At 34.6% G+C, this 25,479-nt stretch overlaps 1 long non-coding RNA gene and 1 pseudogene across 1 annotated transcript in view, besides 1 other annotated feature; both read right to left on the bottom strand.

The window, feature by feature from the left end:
- LRIG3-DT (LRIG3 divergent transcript) overlaps positions 1 to 25,479 on the bottom strand; it is a 210,172-nt gene that overhangs the window by 108,854 nt on the left and 75,839 nt on the right. The window lies entirely within an intron of this gene.
- On the bottom strand, positions 1,097 to 1,878 carry RPS6P22 (ribosomal protein S6 pseudogene 22; annotated as a pseudogene).
- Positions 16,649 to 16,818: an enhancer, noted in NCBI's record as "experimental_30226 CRE fragment used in MPRA reporter constructs". NCBI's record gives its function as "activates a minimal promoter by MPRAs in K562 erythroleukemia cells, with activity observed for both the introgressed and non-introgressed 12:59399070 variant alleles {active_cell/tissue: K562}" and the evidence as "EXISTENCE:reporter gene assay evidence [ECO:0000049][PMID:34662402]".

Here is a 25,479-nt window from a genome sequence, read left to right as displayed (position 1 = left end):
ATGTCACTCAGTGGAGCACAAGGTGGGCAACAAAATGGACTAGAGATTCATAAATTTCTAGGCTATCCATGGTACCTTCCCATCTTTGGTGGATAATTATCCCCAGAAAGAATCCACATTAGGCTTTATTATTGAGGAAGACCCTGGAAGTCAAGGGTTGAGAAGGCAGAGAACTCATGGCCAGGGAAGATGTGATAGAGCATCCGCATGGAAATCCAGTTCTGTGAGAAATTTAATCCCTGAGAAGTTAAATGTTTTCCTGTTATCATCCTCCTAAGATCCTCTCTAAAATCCTGTCATTCTAAGATTCCCTTTGATATTACCACGTTGATGTACTTGTAGTTTCCTCAAAGTAAGTCAGCAGCATTCCTTTCATATCTATTAGCATTTCCTTATAGTTATTTGGAAATGGTTATTGAAGGGATCTCTTCATACTGCCTACCTATGTCATTTTCCTATGCCATTACCCAGAGAGAATATGCAATTTGGTCTGTATATAAAATCAAGTACATAAATAACCAATATCGCAGTTCAAGAAATGGTTTGAAGAGAGGTTCAGAATACAAGTGGTGCTCACAGAAGGGCAAAGAACACCCAGTAGTGAATCAGAAAATATAGAAGTAAGACATGTTGCTTTGAATAATAGTTTCAAATTCAATGAACAGAGGGATTGGAGGGAAAGACCATCCCACTCAGAGAGAACAGCATGTCCAAAGGCCCAGGGAAGAAAAAATATTTTACGGAATTTCAAGTAACAAGGAGGAAGAGGAGTATAAGCAAGGAGAAAGCAGACACAGGAAAAGAGAAGAGCCTGGCAAGGTTAGGGGTGGAGAAATGTGGATGGTAGAAACAAAACGGAAAAAGAAGCCACGTAGTAGATAACCGTGTCCACGAATGCCCTGTGTCCAAGCTTCTCAATCTCTATAATGAAAGAAGAAATGCCTTCCTCTCTCTCTCCATAAGCAATTTGGCATTTTCACTCTGTTCCTACAAGGAGAATAGAAATCTAGATATATAATTATGAATCTGAATGATAATAGCTAATGTTTACGACCTAGGCATTAGAGTCATAAATTACCTCATTTATTTTTGTTTTAGTCTGATCTTATTTGTTACTCAAAAAAATCTTATTTTTGACTGGATTCAGACAGAAGTAGAAGCTCGCTGAGAGAAGAGTCTGCATCTCTTGGCACTCTGTTCCTGGTGCTTCTCTTCAGCCTCTTTCATTCTCTTGGCCGAAAGTTTAGCATATTCTGCAGCCTCTTCCTGATTTTTTTAGTATGCTGCTTCTTCAGAGCAATACGCCACTGTTTGTGCTGCAGGACACATGGAGTAGTAAGACGCTGAATCTTCTGTGCTTCGGTCCTAGGTTTCTTACCTTCTTTGTTGAAGGGCTTTCTTACAACATGCTCACAGACATCATCTTTAGGGAAATTGAAAAGTTTGTGGATTCTGCTAGCTCTTTTGGGCCCCAGGCAACAAGGCACCGTAGTACCAGTCAGTCCAGGAATATCCTTCTCTCAAGTTGAGAACGCTCAGATTGGCATCTACAACGTAACCACTAACAGATTTCGCTTTCTTTCTCTAGTTCTCCTTGGTCTGTAACAGGAATGCCCCTTACTCAGTAGCAGGTGGACACAGCCATGGGTCAAGACACACTGCTTCATAGGGAAACTTTGTTTGTCGTTCCCATCATTTATTCAAACAACGTAGCCCTTCCATTCTTCACCCGGAGCGTCAGCAGCTACTTCTGTGGCCATACGCTTCTCATAAAAAGTAAGAATTTTGCATTCATCAATCACTTAAATGAGTTTCTGGCAGCCAGTGGCTGGGAAGAAGATGTTCAGCTTCATCTTGAAGCTGTTGATGCTGGCCTCCCAAATTATCTCATTTAAATAACACAAAAACTCTATGAGGCAAGTAGTATTATTATTCTTCATTTTAGATGGCAAAGCTAAAGTTTAGTGATGTTAATCCAGTAAACAGGAAAGCCAGCATTCAGATACCAATGCAAAACTAAAGAAAAGGATTTGTTCATGTGCTCTGGATATCTGATCTCTATAAGTGTTCTGAATGAGTCAATTTAGTCAAATCACCAATTTTGCCATTTTTGTAAAAAAAAAAAAAGTAAGTCAACTAAAAATAAACATCCTATTCTACTAGCAGCTGAGAGGAATGCTTTTCTTCCTTTCAATCAATCACAGGTGTCTGACAATCTTCACAATCAGAATCAGTCTAGCATACTACCAAAAAATTCCTGCCTGAGCCCAATGGGCCCCAAGAACCTTAGAGAATCAGATAATCCCTTTACTAAATGGCATCATCAAAAATGTTACTTTTTCCCTCAAAATCAAAATATAAACATTGGGGGAGAATCTATCTTAAATAAAAGCAAGAAATTAATCATAAAAAGAATTTGCTTGAAAGTGTCATAATTTTGCAACGGTTTTACTTTTCTTCCATATGTGTAAGGGAGAAAAATGTGCATGTATAAACATAGGCTGTTTTACCTTCAAGTGACTCCAAGAAAGAGTCATTTTTCAAAACAGAGTATTTATATGTAAAACCTGCATAATAGTAGTAATGACTGTTTTTTGTTTAGTTTTTAAAAAGCAGCCCACCTAAATGAATTCCTACCTGCCAGACAGAATTGGAGTTAGCTAAAGAAAAAGAATACAGGGACAGGATGGGGCGCTAACTAAAATGCCTTTTCCAAATTCTCAAAATGCAACTACATGGACTATTCAAATTAAGCATTGAATATAAGGTTCAGAGGAAAATTCTGTTACAGAAGCAGTAGACAAAGAGACAAGAAGTGATACCAACTGCTTCCCTTCTTTTTGTACATTTTCCACCTTGAATCCCAAAGAACAACGTTCCAAACCTCTTATTCTTTCCTGGCTCTACGGTGCCTCTGAAATCAGTGATCCTGATAAATAAAATCCCATGAGGTCTGAAAGCAGTAGTTTCATGGACAACATTTAAATTGTTTCCATGTGCCTTCTGCTTGCGCAGGATCAATCATCATGATTGGTGTATTATAACTTGCCCTGACTAAATTGGTCTCTCTCCTGTTGTTTTCTTTTCCCCAAGGAACTCAATTTTCCAGCAAAGAGCCTTCTGTTTCCCTCTATTTTTTTTAATTTTCATATTAACTATAATACAAAAGACTAAATGAAAATTCAGACTCAGAGATTCTTGTTTTTAACCCACTGGCAGGCATCTATTCCAGTGAAATGTTCATTTAACATACTTTATTTTACATTTCCATTTATTTTTGTATTAATTTTCAAGTCCAATTTTTGGATTAATAAGGCTCTCAGTATTAATGAGAAAATCATTTAGAGTACAATGGAATTTCAGTCAAGAAAATATTGTTCTATTTTTGATACATTTTTTATCTTTCAGATGCTGTTTTTTAAAAATAATTAAAAGAAAAGTAAACTTTAGAACAAGGTGCACTTTTTAATATATTTCATATAGGACATGAAAAAGGAAGAATGTGTCATTTATATCCCTGTTCTGAAGCATGCCTTTCCTCTAATTTCCATAAAATATTGGAGAATTGTTGGTGTCAGCTATATCAACTAGCTCTTGATCCTATACAGTATTGCACACATAGATTTTTGGTTTTGTTCTATAATTTTCCTTGATACGGTGTACATTGCTAAAAGGCAATGACCATGTCTCTCTAGAGTAATGATTTGTTCATGTGCTCTAGATATCTGATCTCTATAAGTGTTCTGAATAAGTCAGATTAATAGCAAAATACATATGTGATCAATGCCCCAGAATCTCTATAAGTGAAAGTAACTATAAACAAGCAATTTGAAAGTAGTAAGATCCTCATCCTTTTCAAAAGTATCTATATTTCCACCATTTTTTAGAATGCCATAAAGGCCACGTTATTAAAACCAAGAGAGAACATAAATGTACATGAGAGAGGTCACATTCTGGCCCTTCTCAAACTTTTCCACAGAGGCATCACTGGTCAGGACGAAACTGAAGAGTGAATACATACACCCTGGAGTTGGAGGGCATCTCCCAAAGCAACCCATCTCCCATCTGAAATTTCTTTGAAGTCTTCTAATATTGCTTTAACATGAATGCAAATTGTGCCTCCTGCTCCCCAATATATCTGTTTGATTTAATATGAAAATTAAGTTGCTTATCTGGGTTAAAACTGACAGATGAAGAAAGTGTGGCTTGGAACTCCTGCACTCCCTTGAAGACCTACCAAGGCATGCTAACCTTTAAACTGCTAATATTCATTAGCAAGATGCCAAATAGATGCATTGGCTACTTGCAATTGATTCCTCATTTTTTGGAAAGATTGAGTGAAGACAGAGATTCAGAGACTGGAGGAGAAGCCAGCAGCGAAGGAAAGCAAGCTTCAACTCTAATGATACTTTGATGCTCCTGGGAGGAAAGGAATGCCACAAGAAAGAGATAAACTGCAGAAGGAAGGCTTGCAGGGAACCACAATCAAATTTACCTCACAATTTGCCTAAGGCCAAAGAAAGAGGCTTAATAGAAAATCTGCTGATTTAATTTGGTGATTAAAAAAAATGCTCTCAAAAAATGAGTGAAAAAAACGCAAGTAATTAAAACTATTCTTTTAGCAATAAAGGAGAGAGAACTCATTCATTTGCACATTTTAAAAGCATAAAACTAAAAAATGTTGGTTTCTCGTATATTAAAAATAAAGTTATACAGTAAATCTCATCTTAATAAGACATCTCCAATTATATGATTCAGCAGAGTGTAGGCTGTAATTGTTTTAATGACATTTTAAATGATGAACAAAAGAAAAAAATTATGAAGGGCTAATGACATACAATGAAGCAATATGCCATCATTCTTTAGGATATAAATATTATTCCAGAGAAAGTCTTAGTTTTTATTAAAATTAAATGAGAAACACACAATATTTGTACTAAAGTCATACTATAGTGCTATGTTCAAGGGAATAAAAATTTGAATGTAAATGTGATCCCAAAGCCAGGTCTCTTTTGGTCAGGGATATACAATATCATGTTTTCCTGAAATTCATACCTTTATATCATTAAATTATATCTTATTAAAACATTGAAAAGTATCAGTGCGTCCTGAGAATATGCATTCTGGATGCCTTTTAACAACACATGAAACTGCTAAAATTCTAAACCCATATTCAATCAAAGCAATCAAAGTTATCTTGTTTCTTTGCCTCAACCTAGTGTATATAGAATTAGTTGATTGTTTTTCCAAGCTCTTTATGGTGGAAGTTTCACATGTGTGAAAAAGATGAACTCTATGTACCTACTCATCACTCAGCTTTATCAATTTTTCACCAATCATGTTCCTTTTATTGTTTTATTCTTTGCTGGAATATTTTATAGCAAATTCCAGACATCGTGTCATTTTACCCAAAAATATTTCAATGTTCATATCTAATCGATTTTATACAATCTTCATTGCCATTATAAAACAATTTCTTCATGTCATAGTTGATTATATTTACTATTAAATTCAACAGTTATATTTTAATAAATAGGGTAGATATAATTTAGTATTTCTATATTATTATGTAAGTGTAAATATTTAGTTTGGCCATACATGTATTTTCCAGGTCTAATGTTTTAATTAAGTTAACTGGTAAATTCAGTTAAAAACAATGTTAAAGGGATTTTTTTTTCTTTTGCTTGTTTTTGCTATATTAACCAGTCAAATCAGTTAAACTATCTGTGGCTACAGACCTCATCTTAAATATAAGCATCTGGGTGTATACACACTGGGCCAAATCAACCACATCATAGTCAACTTTTGTAGATGCCACATTATGTAATCACAAGAATAGATGATTAGTATTAAAGCAAATAGATTATGCTGAGATTACTCCAAAGCAATTAAAACAGAGAGGCAGTAAGGGAGTGGAAGGAGAGCTTTGGAATTCACACAAATATAGGTTCTAATTCCTACTCTGCTACTTAATGCCTTTGTTAACTTCAACTAGTTAGCTAAGAGCCTGAGTCTCAAAACTACACCTGAAGCACAGAGATAAAAATACCATTGTAACTATTGTGAAACATATAAATTCTTACACGAATTATAAAACATCTGCCATATGATAGGCACTCAAAATTTCTTCTTTGAAAACTCCTTAATCAATATCCAACAATGAGATGGAAGCAACCTAAAAAATCACCCTCAGTTCACATGTCTCTTAAACGTTTTGTATAATATTTCAAACACTGCCTCATACGATCAGCAATAATAGACCATCGTCATTCAAAAAATACAATCTTTTTGCTTTTTCATTAGACATATGTAAGAATTTACTTGTTTCTCTTATGTTAGGCAATATGGTAAAGAAAGATAACCAGCAATCTAAACTTTACTTGGAACAAATTACCATGAAATAAATCATCTCAGTCATATTTTTCTCAGATAAGTAGCTCAATGAGATATGTCTTTGGGGGTTAAGAACTTTACAAAGCTGTTATTATTGTTTTAAAGTTTACAGGTGAAGCAACAAAGGCTCAAGGACACAAAAAGTTTCAGAATAAAAATTTAGGACACATTGTTGTTTGAAACTAAATGCATTCCAATAACTTATCCTTTATTTAGATTTAAGGATGTGTATGAAAAGCATTCTATTGCCCCAGAAAAGGAGGAAAAAGTCAGTAACACGTATTTAGACATTGTATCATTTTCTACATTATTCTGGAATATCAACATTAAGTCATGATGTATCTATCCAGCAATAACCTTGTGAAAAATAAAATACATACATACACACAAAACCCACCTGTTCCAATAATTCCACTGTGCTTTTGCGGCTCCCTGAAACTCTCTTTGTTGATGAAGATGCTTTGTAATGCAGCAAGGTTGAGGGTTATTGATCTATAAAAGTCTTTATGATTCAGCTGCTGTGGAACTGTCTACAATACCCAGGCCTCAAGGGTGTGATTTTTCCAGTGATGCCAGGTTGATTCTTGGAAATTTACATGCTGCTATCTGTTTGACAATAAATTGCTCTGGAAACTCTTATGTGATACACATTCAGGACTCTTTATAATAACAAGCTGTATATCTTGATGGCCAATTTGTCTTTTTTTTTTTCTTTTGAAAACTGGTCTTAATCTACTGCAGAGGTCACTTATGAACAGAATGCATTGCCTGCATTGGTTGTGTGAAGTAAGCACATTCTCTTAGCTTCAGATTTCACCCCAAAGTACTACATTGCTTTGTGCTGCTTACCTGAGAAACTGACAAGATTCAGTTTTCAACAATTTCTTTTTATATGAGAAAACATACTTAAAAGGTAGTCATTAAGGGCACAAGCTCCAAAGCCAGACCACCAGGGTTGAATTCTTGGCTCTGCCATTTACTGGCTCTGTGATCTTGGGCAAGCTGCATAATCTCCAGCTTTAGGTTCCTTAGATGTGAGATAAGAAAACATGTAAAACATGTGGAATCATTTCACAGAATTTTTGTGAGGATAAAATGAGTTAAGAACATTGAAAATTCTTGAAAACCACCTGGTACACAGTAAGTTCTCAATAAATATGAATCATTGTTATTATTAACATACATAAAAGATCTATCACAATTAATATTTGAATGCCTACTTCTTGCCAAGCACAGTGTGTCAGTTACGTTCAAAATATTTTAAACAATTTTCATAGTAATATTTAAATATACATCTTTATCCTTGTTTTGCTAAAGAGTAAACTAAAACCCAGAGAGGTTATGTAAATTGCCTAAACAAACAGAGTTGACAGAATGCTGAGCTGGGAATTGAGTTAAGGAACAAGGATTATAACTGCTCCATGGTGACCTTACATTTGGCCCTCCAGGAGTCTGCTGATGGGTATACAATGCATTCATATTATTATAAAAGTTTGACATTTTTAAAAAGACATTTTCTACGTTAGTTAACATAAATATTTTAGTTATTTTTAAATGCAGTTACAATAATTGCTAATTATTCTGATGATAGAAACATTTAATAAACTTTTGTAATTTTCCTTGTAGAAGCCCAAAGATGGATGGGCCACAGAAGTGTCTCCTGGAAGGGGAAAAAGCCCATGGATCAATGAGTTTAAATGAGTTTAAAAGCTCATGGATCAATGAGTTTAAAGTCAACCTCTTGCCTTGTTAGCTCCAAGACTAACTGATACTCTTAGAATATGCCATTCCTTCTACCTACATGTGCCACCCGCTCCCATACCTTCTCCATGGCAGGCTCTTTTTCATTCTCAAGCTACAAGCTTAAGTTTTTTCCTCTCAGAGGAGTCTCCTATGTCTAACCTATATGATCATCTCTATTGTTATTTACATCACCACTCTGTTCATGTTGTTTGAAGCCCTTTTCATAATCGTCAATTTAATATGTTTACTTGCTTGTTGAATACATCCCTGTTTATAAGATTCATGAGAAAATGGACTATAGTAAATATTCAATAAATAAATGCTAAATAAAAAGTGAATGAATGACCCACAAATATACAGATTTCATCTCACATTTTTCAATTTTTCTGGTCTTAAAAAGATAGCTTCTAGTATCCCAAATGTAATCCTTTATTCATGGAAATCTTTGTTTTTTAGCTGTATCACTAAAGCTTTTTAAAAAATCATAATACTCTTAGATATACAGCATTATACATCACTTAGAAAATTAACGAAACCCATCAATTAACCTTCTTTTACATACTTAATTTCAAACAATTGTATTCTTTTTCCTCTATTAATGTCAAATATACATTATGAAGTAGACATTGCAAAGTATGCATTGCAAAATGAGGACAAAAATACAACTGAATTCATAGAGTTAAAGGGATAATTAAGTCATATACATGTTAAGCACTTAGCGGAATGCCAGTACATGGTTAGTCCTCCTGTAATTTATTGGTTTTTTTTAATAAATATAACAAAGATGGTTTTTTATTATTTTAGCATTGCCATTGGTTGGTATAGTATAATAATGATGAAAAATCATCAATACTACTTAATACAATGTTTTAAATAGAAGAGGTAGTTCATAAACATTCATTGTTGCTCACAATAGGGGTGTCTCAGTTTAAGAAAATGTTAATACTAAAATTCAATAGGTCAATTATTTCCATCAGAAAAAGATTATTCATTTTATGAATCATTATACCTGTTTTTTTGTTTTATAATAGTAGCTTTCACAGTGGGATTCAACTCTTTCTATAGAACAATGACAAGTGGACAGAAACATCAGTGCTAGTACTTGGGGGGAGTGGAAAGAAGGCATCATGAAAGAGCAGCCACATAACATTTTATAAAGAGTTATGTGTCCTTTCAAGTAGATAAAACATCACATAAATTATAATACAAATGAACAGAAAATGTGTTTCAATGTTCCAAACTTTAATTTATATCAGCTTTTCGAGAACATATCAATTTAATCAAATAGCACGACACCTGCCATAGAAAGAATCAATATGATATGGGAGACGAAGGGCTGTTTTGCTGACGTGAGCCACAGGAAGTGATAAAACCATTAGTTCTTAGTGAAGCACCTAATGTCCCCTCAGATAATATAAAGAAGGTCTTTAAACAAATAGTGGTTTGGGGCCAGGCGGCATGGCTCACGTCTGTAATCCCAGCACTTTGCAAGGCCGACTTGGGTGGATCACTTGAGGTCAGGAGTTCGAGAACAGCCTGGCCAACATGGTGAAACCCTGTCTGTACTAAAATACAAAAATTAGCTGGGTGTGGTGGTGTGCACCTCTAATCCCAGCTACTTGGGAGTCTGAGGCAGGAGAATCACTTGAACCCAGGAGACGGAGGTTGCAGTGAGCTGAGTTGACACCACTGCACTCCAGCCTGGGCAACAGAGCAAGACTCTATCTCAAAAAAAAAAAAAAAAAGGAATAAAAGGGTGTTTGGGCAGGAAGCAGTAAACAAGCACTTCTTTTATTGTATAATCTTAACATTAATAGCAGCGTTCATTTACTCTTCAGGTATGTTGCAGAGCAAGGGTTGGCAAACCTTTCTATAAAGAGTCAGAAAATATTTTAGGCTTTGGGCCATAGAGTCTCACCCTCAACTACTCAATCCCACCATTGTAATGCAAAAGTAGCCATAGTTGTCACATATATGAAAAAGCATGACTGTGATCCAATAAGACTTCATCTACATAAACAGGTAGTGGACCAGAATTGGCCTGCACACTGGTAGTTTTCTGACTTCTGATGTAGGGCACTATCAAAACTAATGTTTTGGGAGTAACTGCCATATGTCTAGTCCAGTGGAATCTCTTTTACTTCCAAAATTCTTTTTGTTACTTTACCTTCTAATAGCTTTCCTCACAGGTTGTTGTGAAGATTAAATGAGAAAATCTATGTAAAGTGCCTGAGACAAAGTTTCCAAAACAATTTAGCTCAAATACATAAGCATAGACTCTAAAGCTAGATTGCCTATGTTGAAATACTAGCTCTACCCTTTATTAGCTATGTGGTCTTGTACATGTTATTTAATTTCCCTGTACAGTAAATCCTCCCTTAATGTCATCATCCATAGGTTCTCAGAAACTAACTTTAAGCAAAACATTTTATCACAGGTTATTGACATAAGAAAGAGATAAGTTCCTATATTTCTGGTCACAAAACATCACTAAACTTCTAAATAAAGACCTTAAACACTTCTAGTATTAAACATTGAAATAAATGTGAGTAATACACACATTTAAGAAAGATTAACAAAAACAAGTATGATAAGTGTTTACCCACTTATTCCAGTTCAGGCCTTGGATGGCTGGAGCCTCTCCTAGCACCTAGGGGAGCAAGTCTGGGACCACCCTGGTCAGGACACCATTCCATCATAGGGCACACTCACACACACCCACACTCACTCACACCGGGGCCACGCAGATGCAATTCACCTAATGCGCATGCCTCTGGGATGTGGAAGGAATCCAGAGTGCCTGGAGGTAACTCAAGCAGACAGAGAGAGAATGTGCAAACTCTACACACACAGTGGCCCCTGCCAGAGTGAAGTTTTTTTTTCCTCATCAGTGTTAAAATGAAATAATGTTGAAAGAAACTATGTTATTCAAGGATCTGCTGTACTTCAACCTTTCGCACAGTGAAATGAGATAATAACAACACTTATAGGTTACCGAAGGAAGATGAAATGAGTAGAAGTATATAAAGTGTTTAGAACAGTGCCTAGCATACACTAAGCACTATATGAATGTCAACTATTGTTATTGTACTGTTATTGTTGCAGTTTCATAACTCAGTTAACTTGGTTCTCTCTATTTAACTGAAAATCAGAACGAGCTACATTATAAATGTGGTATAAAAAATTAATGGTAGGAGAGCTAAGAAAGAAAGAGACCATGATGTGCTACAGTTAGGTTCTGGAGGTCAAAGTGGACAACTCAGTTGGGGTCAAATGGTGTAGAATGTTAAATGATATGAGAAGGATGTTGGACTTCATCTCCAAAGAAAAGAGGAATCGCCTAAGGAAATTGCCAGTTTGGATCTAAATCTGATTAATGATAAATAACGGGATGGTGAGGCAAACATGAATTTTAAAGACCATGTCCGGTAGATTTAAGGAAATAAAAATTAAAAAGCACAGGGCCCCAGAGCCTTATGCTCTGGAAATATCATGAGTGCAACGCTGCCTATGTTGCTTAGATTTATGCACATGGAACCTGAGCAGTTTCCCCGAAGGTTCGCATTATCCTCTAGTTGACCTGCAACAGTGGGAGGGGTGCAGAAAGGAAGGGCCCAAAGCCAAGAACAAGTTTGTCCCAGAAATAGAAGGATTGTGACAAGAAGCTAAAGCCAAAAGCAACTCATTTTCTCACACAAGATTGAGGAAGAAGAAGAAAGCCTAGTACAGAGACCAAAGCCATTGTAGCAAAAGAAAAGAGTGAACAAGAAGGAATAAAAACATTTAGATCAATAGACAAACAGCAAAAGGGCCATCTGAGCAGAAGTCTGTATTTCACTATATTTCACTACAGTAGCACATGATAATACAGGACTATGTTTTTAAATACAACCTACCTGTAGATTAATATGGTAGAATCAGCAGAAGGCCAAAATGCACTAGAACTCTGGGTGACCAAGAGACACCATAGAAATAGCTGGCCTTGGGGTTCAGGGACATGTACAAATCTAGGACAGATCTGGTTTATCTAGAACAGTGTTGTCTAATTGAGATGTAATGTAATCCATATGTGTAATTTCAAATTTTCTAGTAGTCACATTTTTTAAAGTAAAAAAAAGTGAAATAAAATTTAGGAATGTATTTCATTTAACCCAATGTATCCAAAATACTATCATTTCAACATGCAATCAATGTTTTAAAAATGAGATATGTTACATTATTTTCTTTTTACTAAGTCTTCACAATCCAGTTGACACATATAGCACATCTCAATTCTGGTGATGAATTTTCACTGGTAATACTGGCCTTTATTTAGATTTATAAAATTTACAGATGGAAAAGTAGATTTATGAACCTAAGTTGCTCCAAACGTATGTAAAAGTTTTCTAATAATTGAATTGAATTTTCATTTTTAAATTGAATTTTAATTAATGGAATCAAATGAAATTAAATTTCTGTTCCTCAGTCACACTAGTCACATGTTTTATGTTCCTTAGCCACATGTCGCATGTGACAAATGGCTAACATATTGGACAGCTCAGAAAGCTAGAACGTGGTAGGGTTAGTCCTGAAGGAGGGACACCAATAATCGAATGTAAAAAAGGTGCTTAAGAGACTGAATGCTGGATGTCCTTAGGGTTTAGAGCAGTGTTCTTAACCCACTGAGTTCTACCATATTTAACTGTATCTATATCACAGTATTTAGAATTTTATTATGTTAATACTGCACTCAAGTCATAATTATATCATAGTTGAGGACAAAAACTATATTTTATAATAATTTATGTATTTTTATAATATATAAAAAACTATATTTTATGATAATTATTTTTTAATCTTTATAATGCTTACCACATTGTAAGAACATAGTGATCATTAAACAGTTGATCAATTGGTTGACATAACTGATTACACTGTAGTTCTTCATAAACACATTTACATACTGAAAAGCCACAGGTTATTTTGATCAGTGCCTCAGTGGAAAGGCTTATATGAAAGAAAGAAACAATGGCTAAGATGAAGAGGGAAGAATTTCTAGACATGGAGAATAGAATACAATGGCTTAAAAATAAGCTAACTGGAGGGACAGTGAGGTAAGCGGAGTAGGAATTAGGTGCCTTTTGGGTAGAATAAAGGATATAAGCTAGAATGTAGCCCAGAGGGCAATCTATAGTTTTGAGAAACAGTAGAAGGTCCTGAGCCACAAAATTAAAGTAGGGACTTAATATGAGGGAAGAGCCACTGCATGTGTATAAAAGTAAAAGAAACAGCATATTATAAAATTGCACTCAAAGACAATTCTTGCTGTGATGTATCTGATTATGGAAAGGTAAAGACAGGCTAGGTACTGTTATTTGTACCTATGGAAATGGATAGGGAGGGGGCAAATCAGAAGATGCTGCAGTTATCGCTATAAAAAACTGGCCATAGAATAACAGAATGATAGAGCACTCATTTAAAAGTTCATAGAATTTCCAAATGTGGTTAAATTTTAGCCAGAGAAAACTTTAAACACTGTATAAAACTGGCTCCAAAAGTTATATGTGAGGTCCTCTACCCAACTGCACATGTGGCTTAAAATGCCTGGAGTTATTCATACAAAAGCAGGTAGCTTATTTAAACATCTATTTTTCATATATCAACAGCTTTTCCCAGTGAAGGAAATGGGGGCAGTGCGGTTCTAGGACCTTCTAACCCCTCCAAAGTGAATGTTGTTTGACAGTCTGCAAATGATTTAATAGTCAGACAGACAGGGCTTATAAAACCAGTAATTCCCATCTCAATATCTTTTTGAAATATAAACACATGTGATGAATTGTGTGTGGATAGATTAACTTTCTGAGCAACTCTAATGAGTAGAGAATCAAGAAATAACAGGGCAGAGTATCTGTCTTGTATTAAACTACGATCATTTTTTTAAACTTTCAACCCACTATTGAATCTAATTTATTTTTCTAAGAGCAAGCAGTGCCTGTCCTGTATAACTGCAATGGGCCCAGTGAGCTCTAGCACGTGGACATTGGTTTTCCACCTTTGTAGGAGAGAGGAGAGCTGCATGACTCAAGCAAAATGTTCACCCGGAGCTCCCTTTTCTGACTGCTGTGACTCAGTGAAGCCAAATCTCAGCTTAATGGCAACATAAGCCAAGTTGGCCTTCAGGATATCTATCAACCTTTGGATGCCCTTCAACTCCAGCTCCTAGTTACAAAGTTTTTAGGGTTCTAAGTCACTCCCTTACTGATCAATGCCCTCTCTAATAATCCATACACCAGACCCTATTAACATCACAATTTACCATTTTTGTTTATCAATCTCTTCAGTCTCACATAAGCTAATCCTTGCTAATAGGCATATTGGCTTGTTAGTTTTTACTAATCCTGGACAAGATAATGTCTTAAATAGATAAACATGTACCAAGACCTTTAAATGATCCCTAATAGGGGATTATAGGTGACTGCAGCAAGCCAATGAAAAGACAAATTTGAGGAGTGGGTTCCTTGGTATTCTTCAAATAATATTTATTTGAAAAACGTCTTCTCCAATTATATGTAGGAATATCTTTAGCCAAATCCCGATGCACATCTCCTACATAATTTATCTATACAAAAAATATGTACCGAATTTAAAAAAATGTGTAGTGGACACTGTCCTAGATGTTGACAATACAAAGGTCAATATGATTGGTATTCTCAAGAAAGTCACAATCAAGCATGGTAAACAAACATATCAAATAGTAATTGCAATATAATAAGTCATAATGAGCAAAATCTGGTAATGACACAAAGAAGGGAAAAATCACTTTCTGGAAGATCAGTGAAAGGTTTTCTAGTGGGAAGTGAAAATTGGGCTGGGGGCAGAGAGACAGAGATAGAGAGAGAGAGAGAGAGAGAGAGAGAGAGAGAGATGAGAAGCATGAAAAACAGAGAGAAAGGGAGAGAGACTGGTATTGACTGAGATTCCCGGGAGACTTTTGCTGGCCAAATAAAATTGGGGTAAGGGAGCAGAGAAGATAGCGATTAAAGTTATTCCCCCTACCCCCTAAGGGAATATTGTTTTAGAAGGATGAAAAGGATAACTAAAAGAGAGAAAGTAGAATTTTCTGAAAGAATTTGAAATGAATTTACATCTAACCCCAATGGGTCTAGTTATAAAGTAACCTTATTTCCTTCTTGGTCTCGAAATATCCAATTACTGGAGTTGCCTTAAGAAGAAATTGCATGTCTTTTTTTTTTTTTAATACATAGATGGAAAATACTTTGTAACTCTAACAATTATTAAGTTAAAATTACCTTTGGTGAAATAGTATTAAATACAAAGAGCACATTAAGATCATTTTTTATATTCTCTTGTAATAAAATAGCAGTTTGCAATTAGTGAGCACTCATGTACCAGACACTATTTAAGCAGTAAATGTATATTAATTTGCTTAATCTTCACAAGTACATATGAGGTAGCTATTATTAGGATATCAATTTTACAGATAAAGGCACAGATAGGTACAGTGACATGTTCAAGATCACACAGCAGGGAAGTGGTACAGCTAGGATTCAAACCCAGACTGTCTGTTTCCTGAGTCCAAGTTCTTAATTACCACACATATTATTTCTTATAATGATGGTAACAGAATTGCAAAATGTACTAGTTCTAACAAAACAAACGGAAAATCGGAACAGAATATTTTAAAGAGTTACATTCTCCAGTGGTCATGTGGATCGTCATGACTTGTCCCATGTTGCTATATATATCTATACATATTTTGTGTATAGATACATTATGTAGGAAATGTGCATCGGGATTTGGCTAAAGATATTCCTAGATATAATTGGAGAAGATGTTTTTCAAATATTATTTGAAGGTCTACTAAGATTGCTTTAGTTTATAAAGACTATGGTGGAAATGAACAATGGAGTTATATTTAAGAGACTATGACTAAACTCTGAAAATATCTCATAAGGCATTTATTTGTGTTACCATTTTGTCCTGGTAGATAAATAAAAACTTAAACCAATCTAGCCATGAAATAGTGATCCTCCCGAGGGTGACATAGACAGGGCCTCTCCCTATTTAAGTAAATGCTGACAGCAGAACCTGCACTAATAGGAGCCAGATGGCTTAGAAGAACACTTCTCTGCTCCAAAACAGAAAACACTTCCATGAAACTTGAGGCTTGTGCTCCACCCCAGCTCTATCTGGCAAGTGTCCGTGAGCACACGTGTATATGTAATGTGTTATGTATGCATGGTTACAGAACAATATCCCAAAAAGGACAAAAAGAGTTTACCAAAAGTGGTTTACAACTTATCTTTTATCTAGCACATGAAAATTGTCCTGCCTTTAGTTACATGAAGAGTCCTCACTGCCCTACTTTCTGGGAGAGGAGTGAAGAAATCAAGTGTTACATGTGCCTAACTGAGAGATATTTTTATTTCTGAAAGAAATAAGTCAAAATGCGCCAAACTTCCTTCTTTAGTAGTAAGGAAGAAAATTTCCTTGTCAGCAAAAAAGAAAAAAAGGACATGACCACAATTTGCTCACAGATATCTAGCCAATAAATATGAAAAGGAATTATTTAAAGCCAGTAGAATGTAGTCCATTCCCTCAATTAAAAGGCCCCAATTATTTTCCAAAGCCAATATTCTACTTGGATGCAAAGAAAGCTAAGGTGGAAATCAAAAGAACTGGACATTAATCTCAGTTCTCCCTTCCCTGAATCACTCCACCTTTTTTTCTTCAGCTTCATCTTTTGATAACTGAGGGTAATAATGCCTCATAGGATCATAGTGGAGATAATAAAATAATAAACATAAAATAAACTTTGGTGCTTTGGCTATTGATAGCTGATATGAAAACAATTTAAATATTAACAATGCTATAGAAATCATATTCTTTCTTCAGCTCATAGTTTTAGCAGAAAAGACTTATTCCACTTACTATATAATAATTAAGCTGTTATTGTATCAAAGTAAATAAAAGAGTATTCAGGAAAAAAAAAAAGTTGCCCTACTAAAACTTGTTATTTAAAATGTGTAAAATGTGGGCCATAATATAGAACAAAAATAGAGGAAAATGTGCTTGATGGTCAGTAAGTAAAGATTTGTAGAGGAGGGAAGTTACTTTGGTAGAAAAGCAAGAAGTTTATTATTCCATGGCCACACATTTGTTTTACGTACTGGAAAGCCACAGACACAATCTAAGCAGCTGTAGGAGCCCATCATGTTGATTTAATTAGCTTTAAAGATGTGTTCTATGATCTCTATTTGTACAATTGTGGAAGTTTACTCAGATGAATGGCAAAAAGCGCAATTACACATGCTGCTCTAATTCTACAAAACTGAAACTGGTAAAACTGAAGTGGAGGAAAACACTCTTTCTGTGACTATCAACCATCTTCTTTCTTTCCCTTTAATAGTTTTAGAAAAAAGGGTCTCATTGATAGCAACAACAATAATTAGTGAGTGAGAGTGACTTCCACTACCATGGCTGGCTCAAGACTAACTTGTTGTTATGAACATTATTTAACCAAATCTATCCAATTAAGTATGGAGTTATCAGCATCAATTTAGATGTGACATTTTGCTAACTCACCAGAAAGAACTGCTGATCATTTGTTTCTTAAACATGAACTAAAGAAATCTTTGTGTTGTTAAAAACACGATCCACAAAGCCATATTGAGAGTCTTTTCTTTTTGGCCAACACCAGCTTATCTCTTACCGAATTTGTCCTTTTATTTGGAACTATGTTTGGAATTTAAATACTGTAATGATCACCCTTTTGAATTGGCTACTGCCTCCACAAGTCAGATACCAATGATGGAGCATGTATATTTGGTATTTGGAAAAACCATCTATCTCTATTAGCTGTATACATTTTTCCTAAATGCAGCCCAACATTATAGATATTTTTTCTCCTTAATTTTATTCCAGAAGGTGAGGAGGACAGACACAGGTATACATATTTTTAAAGAACATTTTTAGCCGGGTGCTGTGGCTCATGCCTGTAATCCCAGCACTTTGGGAGGCTGAGGCCGGGTGGATCACTTGAGGTCAGGAGTTCGAGACCAGCCTGACCAACATGGTGAAATCCCGTCTCTACTAAAAATACAAAAATTAGCCAGGAGTGGTGGCGTGTGCCTGTAATCTCAGCTACTCACGAGGCTGAGGCAGGAGAATCTCTTCAATCTGGGAGGCAGAGGTTGCAGTGAGCTGAGATGGCGCCACTGCCCTCCAGCCTGGGTGACAGAGCGAGACTCCGTCTCAAAAAATAAATAAATAAAAATAAATAAATAAATAAACCTTGGGGGAAAAAAAAAACATTTTTGCATTGTGCTCTTCTTTACTGCCAATTCTGACACATCTTTCTTCATGCTTACTCCTTACCCAGATGCTTTTTGTACCAATTTTAGGTCTAAAACAAATACATACATAAAGTGAAGGTATGCCAATGGAAAATTTATTGACAAATTCAAAAATTTGAAAAATTAAGCTAGTCGTGGTGGCTTGCACTTGTAATCCCAGTTACTCAGGAGGCTGAGGCAGGAGGATTGCTTGAGGTCAGGAGTTCTAGACTAGCTTAGACAACATAGTGAGATTGTCTCTAAAAAAATGTAAAATAAATAAATAAAATTTGAAAATTTCACAAGATGAGTAAAAGGATACGGATCATAGTGAATCCGCCTTATTGATCTCAAACTTCTTCAAGAAGAATCTATGTGTGCAAAGGCCTCACCAGAAAACACAGCTGCTAGTATAGAATGCATTCCAAGATGACCTCTTGGAGGTTTCAAGTATGAGGCACTTCGATGATCTCTAAGAAATCACATATTGGGATATATTGGGAAATTCAGGAATGAGTTCACTCCTCATAAACGTTTGAATCTATTCTTCATTTGAAAATCAAAATGACATAAAAACTGGTTTAAAATATTTTAGAAATTATACAGAGGCTGAGTGAAAACGAACTCTCACTTTGCAAACATCCCCAGGGGAGGTCTCCATTGTCAGAACATGCTCCCTACCTAGACAAGTCACTTCAGCTTCTGAAGATTGACACGTGCCTCTCACAGCACTTTTCCAACTCAAGGATGTTCACAAAGGGTGGAGCTATGCAGATCACATTTGCCTCATTGTGTTTCCTTCAGAAAAAAAAAAATCAGAAAGAAAAAATCATAAACGTTGATGTCTGTAGCTCTCTGAAGTCATAATATTCTATAAAATTTCTTGCATGAAGCTTACTTGATACTTTTATGCCAATCATCCAATTTAAGTCAGAGGAATAAACTGTCTTTGTGAGAAAACTAAAAAGAAAAATCTATTTTGAACTTCACATTCCTTAATTTTTAGTCAAAGATTCCCAAAAGACTTAATACTCTCGCAAGCCAGTTTAAAAATGATCTAAAATCCCAAATAATTCATTCTTATAATATTAAGAATTGAGATAAGCATTATGCATTTCTTTACAAAGGAGCTATTGAGATTCTCCATATCCATCATAAATTTGAAAAATTTAATATTATATCAAAACAACATTTAACTTGCTAACTTTAATTCTAAAAATTTATCTAAATGAAATCATATGGTACACTACTCCAGTATATATAGTATCTACTTTACCTTGCCCGGTTTTATTGCCTTAGCACAATTAACTCAGAATCACCCATGTTCATAAATGTTCTTGTATTCATCAATAGTTCATACTGTTATATTGCTGAGTAGTATTATATAAATATACTACAATTTGTTTATCCATTTACCTATTGGTGAACATTCAGGTTGTTTCTAGTTTGTTCTCATTACAGATAAAGCCGGTAAAAAAAAAAAAAAAAAAAAAAACCCTCATGTAGACATTTGGACACATGATTTCTTTTCTGTGGGGTAAATTCCTAGGAGTGGAATGGCTGCATTTCACGGTAGCTATATACTTTAAATTTCTATGAAACTGCCAAATTGTTTTCCAAAGTGAATTCTTACTACATCGTGGTCGATACTTAGTAAGTTCCGTCTTTTTAACTTTAGCCATTCTAATAGGCTCATACTGTAATCTTATTGTGATTTTTATTTATATTTCACTAAGGACTAATAATATCCAGAGTCCTTGAATCCGTTTATTTGCCATCTGTATTATCTTCTTTAGTGAAGTGTTTGTTTAAATGATTTCCTCTTTTTATTGAATTTTTTTCTTGTTATTAAATTTTGAGTTTTAAAATATATTCTGAATACAAGTCCTTTATGAAAAATATGATTTGTAAACATGTTCTGCCAGGCTGTAGCTTGCCTTTTCATTCATTTTTTAACCGTGTCAAAGACCAGAAGTTTTAAATGTTTATGAAGTCCAATTTCTTAACATTTTCTTGTGTAGATTTTGCTTTAAGTGCTTTACCTAATACATGTTTGCTCAATTAAAAGCTACAAAAATTTTCTCCTATGCTTTCTTTTAGCAGGTTTATAGTTGTAGGTTTTCCATTTAAAATTATAATCCTTTTTTTTTTTGGTGCGTGGTATGGATTAAAATTGTTTTGTTGTTGTTTTTTATTTTTTACTTTTTTGTAGATGTATATCCAATTGCTCCAGCACCATTGTTTAAAACATTATCCCTTTTCACTGGATTGCCTTTGCATTTATATTGAAAATTAATTCTTCATATATATACGGATTTATTTCTGGACTCTATTCTTCTCCATTGATCTATGTCTATCTTGACACTTTCACCACACTGTCTCGGTTACTGTAGCTTTATATTAAGTCTTGAAATCAGGAAGAATTTAAGTCCACCAATTGTGTTCTTTTTAATAGTGTTGAGCAATTCTAGGTCTTCTCCATTTTCAAATCACTTTTATAATCAGTTTGTCAACTTCTAAAAAGATAGCCTACACTGAAATTTTGATTGGGATTACACTATATTTACAAATCAATTAGAAGAGAATTGACATCTTAACAATAGTGAGTTTTCTAGCCCCTTAATATAGTATAATTCACCATTTATTTAGGTATCTTTTTCCTTTATTTCATCGTAAGTATGTCGTTTTCAATGTACAAATTTTGTACATTATTGTTAGATTTATGTTTAAGTATTTTATATTTTGATGCTACTGTAAATGGCAATGTTTTCTTAATTTTAATACTTACTCATTAGTTTATAGTATACTGAAATACAATTATTCTTGTGTATTGACCTTATGTCCTACAAACTTGCTAAACATATATTAGTTCTAATAATTATTTTGGTAGATCCCATCAAAATCTGTACATAGACAATTATGTCAATTGTGACTAAAGACAGTTTTACCTCCTCCTTTACAGTCCAGCTATCTTTATTTCTTTTTCTTCTTTCATTACATTGGCTAGAACCTATAGGACAGTACTGAATAGGAATAGTGAGAGTGGAAACGTTCGTACTGTTTCTGGTTTTAGAGAAGAAATAATTCAGCTTTTCACAATTATGACAACAGCTGATGGTTTCTTGTAGATGACTTTTAGAAGATTGAGGAACTGCCTTCTATTCCTACTTGGATAACAGTTTTTATCAGGAATCAATGTTGAATTTTGTTAAAAGTTTTTCTGTATCTATTGAGATACTTGTATAGTTTTTAATTAATACATTAGCCTAGGCAACATAGAAAGACTCCATCTCTACAAAAAAAATTGTTTTAATTAGCCAGGTGTAGTGACATGCATCTGCAGTCCCAGCCACTCAGGAGGCTGATACAGGAGAAACCCTTGAGACTAGGAGGTCAAAATAAATCACAATGATTGATTTCGAGATGTTAAACCAACACGGCATTCCTTGGAAAACTCTACTTAGTGACAATGTATTATTCTTTTTATAAATTGTTAGATTTGATTTGTTTAACTTTTTAAAAAAATTTGTGTCTGTGCTCACAAGAAATAATGATGTACAGTTTTCTTTCCTTGTGATGTGTTTGATTTTGAAATCAGGACAATAATAGTCTCATAGAATAAGTTGGGAAGTATTCTCTCCTCTTAAATTTTCTGGAAAAGCTTGTTTAAAATTCTTTCATGTCATTCTTAAATGTTTGGTAGAATTCACTAGTTAAGATGTCTGACCTGAGTTTTCTTTGTGGAGAGATTTTTAATTACAACTTCAATTTCTTTACTATGACTATTCAAGTTATCTAATTATTTTTGAGAGAGCTTTAACAATGTGTGGTTTACATGGAATTTGTCCATTTTATCTAAGATGTTGACTTTATTCCTATAAAGTTATCTTTTTAATATTTATAAAATCTGGAGTCATGTTATCGCTCTTATTCTTGATATAGGTAATTTGTCTCTTCTTCCCTTTTTCTTAATCACTTGGACCAAAGGTTTATCAATTTTCTTTGTCTTCTCAAAGAACCAGTTTTTGCTTTCACTTACTTTTTCTCTATTGTTTTTAAGTTTCCTATTTCAATGATTGATTCCCACTGTGACTTTTATTATATTATTTCTTCTCCTTACCTTGGGTTTAATTAGTTCTTTTTTTTTTCTAGTTTCTTAAGATGGTAGCATTTAATTGTTATATGTTCTATTTTCATTTTCATTCAATTCAAATAATTTCTAATTTCACTTTTTATTTCTTCCTTGACCTCTGAATTATTCAGAAGTCCATTATTTGATTTCTAAATATCTGGGAATTTCACATATAACTTTTTTTTTTTTTTTTTTGAGATAAAGTCTCACTCTGTCGCCCAGGCTGTAGTGCAGTGGCGCGATCTCCATCTCAGCTCACTGCAACTCCGCCTCCCGAGTTCAAGTGATTTTCCTGCCTCACCCTCCAGAGTTGCTGGGATTACAGGCATGCGCCACCACACCCAGCTAATTTGTGTATTTTTTGTACAGACCAGGTTTCACCATGTTGGCCAGGCTGGTCTCGCACTCCTAACCTCAGGTGATCCGCCTACCTCAGCCTCCCAAAGTGCTAGGATTACAGGCATGAGTTTTGCAGTCTCAATATATCTATTGAGACTTATTTGGGGGTCTAGAATACGGTCTACTTGGGTAAATGTTTGGTGTGCACTTGGGAAAAATGTTTATCTGTTGTTCAGTAGTGGGTATTTCATACATGTCAACCAGGTCAAATTGGTTGATAGTATTTTTCAAGGCTTCCATATTTTTTCTGACTTATGCATCAAACATTGAGACAGTATATTGAAATCTTGATATATCACTGTGGATTTGTGTATTTTTCCTTGCAGTTCTTTCAGTTGATCCACTGACTTGCACTGTTTTCAGAGAAATCTGCTGTCATTCTTAAAATTTTCCTTTCTATGTAACATCTTTTTTTCCTACAGCTGCTTTTAGAATTTTCTCTTTATCACTGATGTTGAGCAATTTCATTATAATATGTCCAGGTTTAGTTTTCTTTATACTTCTGTGCTTAGGATTCATTGTGTTTTGTAGATGTGTATAGTTACAGTTTTCATCCAATTTGGAAACTTTTCAGCCATATATCTTCAAGTATTTGTTCTGTTTCTCCCATTTCAGTAACTTCAATTACTCATATATCAGTCTCTTGAAATTGTCTCATTGTTCAATGATGCTTTATTTATTTCATACAGTTTATCCCTGTATTTCATTTTGGATAGTTTCTATTGCTATGTCCTCAAGTTCACTAATCTTTCCTCTGTAATGTCTAATTGATAATTCTATACAGTGTATTTTTGATCTTAGAAATTGTAGTTTTACTCTCTTGGAGTCCAATTTGGATGATTCTGTATCTTTCTGGTCTCTACCAAACTTTTTAAATATATGGAATACAATGATAATAACTGTCTTAATGTCATTGCCTGATAATTCTGGGTTGCTTTTGACTAATTGATTTTTCTCTTCAGTATTAAGAAGAGAAATATGGTAATATGTATTATGAAGAGAAATATGATAATCAGTAATATAACATATTATTTCTGTTTCTTTGCATACCTGGTAATATTTGATTGATGCCAACATTATAAATTTTATCATATCAGGTACTAGATATTTTTGTTTTACTACAAATATTTTAAAACTTTGTTCTGGGATGCACTTAAGTTACTTAAAAATATTCTTTCATGCCTTTCTTCTAAGATGTGCTAGGTAAGATCAGAACAGCACTTAGCCTAAGTTTAATTAGTCCCTTCTAATGAGGCAAGACCATTCTGAGTTCTCTGCCCAGTGCCCTGTGAATTATAAGGTTTTTGAGTCTGACCAGTAGGTATTATTCACAATCCTATGAGAGTGCTAGGCATTCTACCCACCGATACTCTCAACTGGCTCTTTGTCAGCCTCAGGTATTTTTCTCACACACATGCCTATCAATACTCTGCCAAATACTCAAATGGGACTCCTACGATCTTTAAACTTTTTTCTCCCCATGCAACCTGCTATCCTCCTGAATCCTGTCCCCTGAACTCCAGGTATTTTTATCCCTCCATAGTCCCAGTTCCATCTCCCCAACTCAGGCAGTCCACCAAGCTCTGCCTGGGTTCTCTCTACTTATACCATGGCCTAGAAACTCTATCAAGGCAGTAACCTGAGGCAATCATAGGACTCACACCATTAGTTTCTCATCTCTCAGTGTTCATTGTCCATCAGTACCAAACACTGAGCCAGATCCTCAGTGTTTCTCATATATTTCACCTTGTTTTCTAGTTCACATGGGTGGGGAGAGGGTAAATCTAGTCCCTCTTACTCCATGTGGGTTCAAAGCAGAAATTTAATATTTATATTTAATTTTTCAGTGCTTCCAAATTTGGTTTTCAAATGACATACATGAATTTATGAACTTAAATATTTTATCCACAAAGAAGTATACTATCTTTAAGTATGAAAATATTTTTATAGGAAGACATGATGCAATAATGAGTAAAGAACCATTATAAAATTATTTAATCCTTTCTCCCAACCATTTCATTCTTCAGTGAAGCTGTGCAAAAATTATTCCTTCAACATTTACTCAGCCTTCTCAGTCTAAGCTCTTCACTAAGAATTGGATTGGAGAGCAAATCCGACTGGCCCTGTCCCCAAGGGACACTATCCTTTGAGTTTAAGAGAATAAATGGCTTGCTCTTGCTAAGGATATGTTAAAGCAAAATTTTAACTATTTCCTTTCAACAAAATATTTCCTTATAGTCCCCAGAGTGTCCTCTTGGGGAGAAGAGAAAGTAGGTATAAAAACTTTCCACATTTAATATATCATTAGCCATGTGATTTGATGTGATTTGAAGTTGTCTCATGCACTTTTATTGTAAAAAAAAAAAGTTTCAAAAGAAGGCATAAGTTACAAAAATTTTAAGGCAAGCAAATGTCTGTGAAAACTCTAGTGCCTCTCCATATAGTTGAGATTTAGTATGTGAACAAAAGACATAAAGA

This window comes from Homo sapiens, chromosome 12 (assembly GCF_000001405.40).
Source record: "Homo sapiens chromosome 12, GRCh38.p14 Primary Assembly".
NCBI lineage: Eukaryota > Metazoa > Chordata > Mammalia > Primates > Hominidae > Homo > Homo sapiens.
The sequence above is the reverse complement of the archived record's forward strand: the minus strand, read 5'-3'. Positions and strand labels throughout refer to the sequence as shown.